Consider the following 8,639-nt stretch of genomic DNA (forward strand, 5'->3'; position numbering starts at 1 on the left):
GATGGAGCACAGTGATGGCTGGGGAAGGAGCCAGGGAGTGGCAGGGAGCTTTTCAGCTACTGGCCTGGAGGTTGACATTGGCTGTCAGCTGTGGCCTCAGCTAGGCTCTCGGTTGGAACACCTACACTGTGTAGTTTCTCCCTGTGGGCACATTTGACTTCTTCACAACCTGGCACTGGGTTCTAACAATGAGCCTTCCAAGAGAGCAAGAGAAGTGCATGGCATTTTAATGATTAGTCTTGGAATTCACATGATGTGTCTTCTGTCATACTTCATTGGATGAAGCAGTAACCAAGGTCCATCCAGCTTCAATAGAATGGTACATAGAGCCCAGTACTTGATGAGAGGAGTGTTAAGATTACATTATAATAAGAAGTATGTGGGATGGGAGATAGTCTTTAGAAAATAAAATCTGTGACACTTTAATCATTTCATTAAGACTGAAGAAATTAGGAGAGACTGAGGATAAGTGGTTTTCCATTTTTTTTCCCTGGGTCAGCCTTGGATACAGGTGAATTGACTGAATGGTGCTAGTAAAATGGAAGTAAAATCACATTTTTGTTTTTTTATTTTGACATGGAGTTTCTCTCTTGTTGCCCAGGCTGGAGTGCAGTGCCGTAATCTTGGCTCACTGCAACCTCCACCTCTCGGGTTCAAGTGATTCTCCTGCCTCAGCCTCCCAAGTAGCTGAGACTACAGGTGCCCACCACCACGCCCGGCTAATTTTGTATTTTTAGTAGATACAGGGTTTCTCTGTGTTGGTCAGGCTAGTCTTGAACTCCCGACCTCAGGTGATCTGCCTGTCTTGGCCTCCCAAAGTGCTGGGATTACAGGTGTGAGCCACCACGCCTGGCCCTAGTAAAATCACATTCTAATTCTACATCCCCCAGAGTATGTATTCTTTGACCCAGACCTCTAAATAGGTAAGGGTGTATGTGTGTGTGTGTGTGTGTGTGTGTGTGTGTGTGTGTAGAAGTGATGGCACATTAACTCCAACATATAGGTACTATGGGCCTTTTAAATCTATATAACTCTTAGAGCTTATTAAAGTTCCTTTATGTATTATCTCATGTGATTCTCCCCAAGAGGGAAGAATGACCATTATGTACCATGTAACCTCATGTTACAGGTAGGTAACTAATACTGAGAGAAGTAAAATAATTTATTGAAGGTTGCATGTAGTAGAGATAGTAATGCTCACTAAACATTCCATTTGTTCTACATTTCTCAGCTTCCTTAATTAATTTGAGGCCATGTGGTTAACAATGGCCAATGAAATGTGAGTGAAAGTGAATAGAGATGCTAGGTGCCTGAAGAGCATAGGACAGTTTTAGACAACAAAGAATTGTCCTGTATCTCATGACTTCTTTGAACCTCGCTGAATAATTATGTACATAGAAATCCTGTTTATAATGAGAAAGGAAGAGCAACCCCTACAGCTGTCAGCTGGAAGCTGATTTAGCCCTAATGGCTAGGCTATTATATTCTGTTGAATATAAACAATGTTATATAACACCAACATCTGACAAGTCCACTCTGAGTGTGGTGGAGGAAGACAAAAATTAAGACACTCCATAGGCATGTTGGAACTTAGCAAGATTCTGTGTAAATCATAGAGCGACCAAACATTCTTGTCTCTTGGCTTATATGTGTGATATTTGCTCCATTACCCATTAGATCACTCTGTTCCTTCTTCCTCCTAGATTAAAAATTTCAATATTTACACTCATTTAGAATTTCCCTTGCTTTCTGAAAGCACTTAATCCAGAGTAAAACCATGATTCATGGAGCCCTTCTTGAAATCACCCAACACAACCCCAAATCCTTTAAAAAGCCCTTCCCAGCACCCTCATACTGAGGCACCCCATGGTTCCCCATGGTGTGTGATCTCTCTTGTGTAAAAGTGTGCTGATAAACCCAACTCGATTCAACTGCAGATCTGTTCCTCATGATCTCTGACGGGTGGACATTGACAATAATTTTTTGAGCTTAGATTATAACTCCATTTTATATTTTTGTTGTAGATCTGCAGTACTTGATTTGCTCAAAAATGCAATTACCAGTTAAGTGAGGGAAGGTCGTAGTCTTTGTTCAGTACGTAACCAAGAGTTTTCTATCATTTTAAAAACTGTCACTAGTGGCAACATTGCTCATGGCATTTGAGTTCCAGGTCAAAACTACTGCAGTAGTCTGCATTTGTAGTGGGCACATTAATGGTAATTATATGTACATGTGCAAGCATCTAATGATTGTGTCATCAGGAGTTTTGGCCATCTCCAGTTTGAATTACACATTACCGTAAGTTGCTTCCTTTTATTTGTCTGTTACATTACAGTTAGATATTAAAGATACCTTTAATCATGATAGATGATTTAAAAATATGCCTCACGTAAGTTATATTGTTTGTGTTTTAGAATAATAAAACATGTTTAAAAATATTTCTGATAAAAAGTGGCTGTGGGCCTGAAGGGGTGAAAACCATTAGTCTACAGTCATTGATGAACAGTCTGTCCCTTAGGCCCTCTTAGTTGGAGCTGAAGAGTGTATAGATACGAACTTGAACTCTGGTGTTCTAATATTCTGTGTTGCTTACTGAAGGTAGATGCCATGTGCTTTGGAAACCAGCATGGACATTCTATGAAATTTGAGAAGAGAAGCAGTTTTCTCATTTAGATGGTCTATCATGGGTGGTAATATCTAGTGTTCTAAGTGAATGTAGTAGATGCTGCTTATATTAATTTAAGAGAAATCCTATATATCCCATTAAAAAAAATCGTAGAGAAACATTTCCAGAATGGTGGAGTATGGATCTTTGAATATCTGATTCTGCATAAAATCAATGAGGACACTGGCAGGAATGATCAAAATAAACTTTTTTAAACTCTGGAAATTAACCAAACGATTGCAACAACCCAAAGAAAATGTATTTGAGAAAAAAGCTGACTTTCCGTATGATCAATAAGGTTTGTGGTGTTTTAACTTGTCCTGTCCCCATTTTCTTCTCAGCTCCACAGTAGCCTTGAAAATCAGCAACCTTGAGACCACAGTAGCTGTGAAAACCAGTAGCCTAGAAACCACTGAAGGAATTTAGAGTCCCCCCCAAGATAGGTTTGGAGTTATCCAAGAAGCCCCATCCCCAGAGATTTGTCACTCCTTGACCTGTCTGGCAGCTCCCTGGAATAGTCCCAATCACAGGGCTTGTCTTCATTTAACCCAACTCAGGTCACTCAATGAGGAAACTATCCTCAGGTTGTTTGTTATAAACAATTGGTGGCAATTATTTAAACAGCACAGTTGCCTGACATGGCTATACTAGTTGGGACAAATGAGACTGGCCAGAAAACTTGAAAAAAGGGGAGTGCGATGTCTACAGAGGCTTTGAAAAGTGTCAAAATATTCTTGGGAGCTAGAAAGTCAGGTAAAGGTGAGAGACTTATGCTTCAACCACTTAAGGAAATCCCTGTCTAATCATATGCTCAAGACTAAAGTAACCAAGCAGAGATTTTGGTGACTGCAACATGACAAAGAACACAGACTAAACAGAATTAGTCGAGGAAAGGTACTAGACATACCACCATTGCAATAAAAATAACAAATAGTAACAAACTCTACAAAGATGGGGGGTGTGGGACAAATCTGATTTGCAGAGTTGCCACCTTATATTATTTAAATTTTCCAGTTTTCAACAACAACAAAAGACGTGAAGAAACAGCAATTACAGCCGCCTATATATGGGGGAAAAAACTTAGAAAACAGAAACCATCCCTGAGAAAACCCAGACATTAGATCTATTAAACAAAAAGTTTGTCAACCTTTAAATATGCTTTAAAAACTAAAGTAAACCATGGACAAAGAACACGAGAAAGGAAAATAATGTATAAACAAAGTGAAAGTATCAGTAAATAGAAAACATGAAAAATTCTGGAGCTGAAAAATTTCTTAGAGGGCTTTACAGATTTAAACAGGCAGAAGAATCAGCAAATTTGAAAATAGGACAAATGTAATTATCCAGTCCGAGGAACAGAAAGAAAAAAGAATGAAGAGTGAACAGAGCTTGAGGGATCTGTGGCATGCTATCAAGTTACCAACATATGCATTAAAGGAGTTCCAGAAAACGAAAAGAAAAAGGCAGAAATAATATTTGAGGAAATAATGGCTGAGACTTCCCAAATTCAATGAAATACATGAGCTACACATTCAAGAAGATCAACAAATTATAACTAGGATAAACTCAGAGATCTATTACTAAACACATTACAATCAAGCTGTCAAAAGCCAGAGACAAAGACAATCATTAAAGTAGCAGGAGAAAAACAACTTATCACATACAAGGGATCCTGTGTAAGATTAAATGCCTACCACTCATCAGAAACTACAGAGGTCAGAAGGCTGTAGAATGACATATTCAAAGTGCTAAAAGAAAAAACTTAACAGAGAATTTTAGATCCAGCAAAACTATCCTTCAAAACTATAAGAAAGGATGAGCATGGTGGCTCACACCTGTAATCCCAGTACTTTAGGAGGCTGAGGCAGGAGGATTGCTTGAGCCCAGGAATTTGAGACCAGCCTGGGCAACATGGCAAAAAGCCATCTCTATAAAAAATACAACAAACAGCTGGGTGTGGGGGCATGTGCCTGTGGTCCCAGCTACTCAGGAGGCTGAGGCAGGAGGATCACTTGAGTCTGGCAGGTTGAGGCCTTGATTGTGTCACTGCACCCCTACTTGGGTGACACAGTGAGACACCCTCTCAAAAAAAAAAAAAAGTGGAAATTAAAACATACCCAGATAAAAACTAAGAATTCACTGCTAGCAGACCTGCCTTACAAGAAATGCTAAAAGACATCCTTCAGACTGAAATGAAAGGACACTAGACAATAACTCCAATCCACATGAGGAAATAAAAAGCATCATTAAAGGTAACTACATAGGTAAATACGAAATATAGTATAAATGTATTTTTGTTTGTAATTCTTTTCCTGTCTGACCTAAAAGACAACTACATAAAGCAATACTTATGAAATAATGTTGATAGGGTTATAACTTATAAAAGATGCAATTTGTATGATGATAATAGCACAAAGGAGGAGGAAGGGAATAGAGCTATACCAAAGTTTTTGAGTATTATTGAAATTAGGTTGGCATTAATCTGAACCTACTTTATGTTAAGATATTAATCATAGTCCCTAGGGCAACCTCTAAGAAAAAAAACTCAAAAAATACAATAAGAGGAACAAGAAGGAAATCAAAATGATATACTAGAAAATACCTATTTAATACAAAAGGCAGTAGTGGAGAAATTAAATCAAAAGACATAAGATGCATAAAAGGAAAAGAGCAGATATCCCACAAATGACTCCCACCTTATCAGTAATTATATTAGAAGAAAACCAGTTAAATAATTCAGTCAAAAGACAGATTTGCGGCTGGGCACAGTGGCTCACGCCTGTAATCCCAGCACTTTGGGAGGTCTAGGTGAGCGGATCACTTGAGGTCAGGAGTTCAAGACCAGACTGGCCAACACGGTGAAACCCCATCTCTGCTAAAAATGCAAAAATTAGCTGGGTGTGGTGGTGGGCACCTGTAATCCCAACTACTCTGGAGGCTGAGGGATGAGAATCACTTGAACCCAGGAGGCGGAGGTTGCAGTGAGCTGAGATCACACCACTGGACTCCAGCGTGGGTGACAGCGAGACTCCATCTCAAAAAAAACCCAAAAAACAGATCGGCAAAAAACATGATCCAACTATATGTTGTCTACAAGAGGCACACTTTAGATTCAAAGACACAGGTAGAAAGTGAAAGTATAGAAACAGATATACCATGCAAGCAGCAATCAAAAGATAGCTGGAGTGACTATGCCAATGTCAAACAGTAGATTTTAAGGCAAAAACTGTTTCAAGGGACAAAGAAGGACATCACACATTGGTAAAAGGACCAATTCATCAGAAAAACATAACACTTAAAAACAAATATGCACTTAAAAAATCCCACACATGAAACAAAAGCTGACAAAACTCTCCATAATGAATAATTATTAACAACTGAATAATTATTAACAATTAATTTACTTTTTTTTTTTTGAGACAGAGTCTCACTCTATCACCCAGGCTGGAGTGCAGTGGTGCTGACTCGGCTCACTGCGACCCCCCCGCTCCCAGGTTCAAGCAATTCTCCTGCCTCAGCCTCCCGAGTAGCTGGGATTACAGGCCTGCACCACCATGCCAGGCTAATTTTTGTATTTTTAGTAGAGATAGGATTTCACCATGTTGGCCAGGCTGGTCTCAAACTCCTGACCTCAAGTGATCTGCCTCCCTTGGCTTCCCAAAGTGCTGGGATTACAGGCGTGAGCCTCTGAGCCTGGCATAACAATTTACTCTTAATAATTATTAATAACTAAATGAGATAATCCACATAAAAGAGTAAGCTTAGTCCCAGGTACACGGTAAGCACTTGATAATGATAACTCTTATTTAGAAAGAAAAACTGAGTTGCTTTGCTAGTTAAAGGTAAAGAAGTCAGAAAATCTAACAATAGTGGCTGGAGACATCAACACTTCATTTATAATAATGCATAGAAGTAGGCAGATGATTAGGAAAAAGAGGATTCAAAAGCACTATAAACAAACTAAATCTGCCAGGCACGGTGGCTGATTTCTGTAATCCCAGCACTTTGGGAGGCTGAGGCGGGCAGGTCACTTGAGGTCAGGAGTTCGAGACCAGCCTGGCCAACATGGTGAAACCCCGTCTCTGCTAAAAATACAAAAATTAGCTGGGTGTGGTGGCGCATGCCTGTAATCCCAGCTACTTGGGAGGCTGAGGCAGGATGAACTCGGGAGGTGGAAGCTTCGGTGAGCCAAGATCACGCCACGGCACTCCAGCCTGGGTGACAAATGAGACTCCATCTCAAACAAACAAAAAAACCCAACAGACATCTGTAGAGACTCTGTCCAACAACAGCAGAATACACATTCTACTCAAATGAACATGGAACATTTTCCACGATAGACTATATGTTAGGCCATAAAACAGGCTTCAATAAATTTAAAATAATCGAAGTCATACAAAGTATAATCTTTGGTCAAAATGGAATTAAATTAGAAATGAACAACACAAGGGAATTTGGGAAATTCACAAAGATGTGAAAATTAAACAACATACTGCTAAATAACCAGTGGGTCAAAGAAGAAATCACAAGGGAAATTAGAAAATACTTTGAGATTAATGAAAATGAAAACACAACATACCAACACTTATGGGATGCAGCTATAACAGTGTTTATAGAGAAATCCATAACTGTAAACACTTATTTTTTTTTAAACAAGACATCTCAAATCAAGTCTCACCTTTCATCTTAAGAAACTAGAAGATGACCATAGTAAATCAAAGTAAGCAGAAGGAAGGAAATAATAGATTAGAAAGGAAAGAAAAAACATAAAGACTTGAAAAACAGTAGAGAAAACAACAAAACTAGAAGTTGGTTCTTTGAAAGGATTAGCAAAATTGACAAACCTGGAATCAGATTGAAAGAAAAGATACCACTACTGTTTACTGAAAAAGCAATCCTTACTGAATGCTTTTGTAAAGCGATTGGTTATCCCAATAGAATATACATCACTTTACACCTATTTTTTGTGTGAACATTCTGTTATGTAAGCATTCGAACATTGTTTTTCTCCAAAAAGTGCTTTCCACGAATTGTTTCATCCTCGTGACATTCTTAGAATGCAGAAGCTGTTGTATTTAGTAAACTGTAATCATTAAGAACTTGTATTTGATTCAGGCAGATCTGAGTTGTGGATCCAGTTCAATATCCTTTTTTAGATTTTGAGAAAGTCACTTATCCCATTTTTACAGATGAAGCAGCAGGCTGAGAGTCATAAGCACAAGTAAATACTTACCCTCGAGGTGGGAGGAGCTTGTGAGGATTAAATGAGATAACTCATGTAAAATGTTCAGTATAGTCCCAAGCCCACAGTAAGCCCTCGATAATGGTAACTTGCTCAGATGGAAAACCGAATTGCTAAGCTAAAGGTGCAGCAGTCAGGGGAGCTAACCCCTAGTTAAGTGGCTCCTCTTTTAATTTAGATTCTCATCTAGTATATGGCATGGATAATCCAAATGCAGCAAAACAGTCAATTATAGGAAAGAATGCTGATTTCATTTTATTTTTTATTTTGTTTAGAACAAGTTAAAGATAGAAGAAAAACTTTAAACAAAATAAATGTAACGGAGCAAAGAATGATTCATGGGAATTGGGCTTTGCTCTGAAACATGGGCAGTGAGTATTTACAGGCAGAAAAAGGCTGAAGAATGCAGAAACAAAGAACACAAAGTGGATTGGTTTTTTCAAAGTTACTTTCCTTGTGAAGGTTAAAGTAGGGGGACTTCCTTATCAGGCAGGCTAAAACTGGCTGTTCGGAGATGTGGCTATTATCTCCCTCTCACTCCTGATTTCTTGGAAGGTCAGATAACAATGTAGTTTTGGCTTGGTGGCCTGGAACTTCACCGTGAGTAACTCCATTTTGGTTTGGTCTACTGGGGCCTAGTGCAGGAACTTACTTCAAACCAACGACCTCCTATAAATTTTTTTAACAGAGATCATAAGTTTATGAGCCAGTAACTTACTATAGCATTCATTT

The sequence above is a fragment of the Homo sapiens genome, chromosome 17 (genome assembly GCF_000001405.40).
Source record: "Homo sapiens chromosome 17, GRCh38.p14 Primary Assembly".
In the NCBI taxonomy this organism is placed as follows: domain Eukaryota; kingdom Metazoa; phylum Chordata; class Mammalia; order Primates; family Hominidae; genus Homo; species Homo sapiens.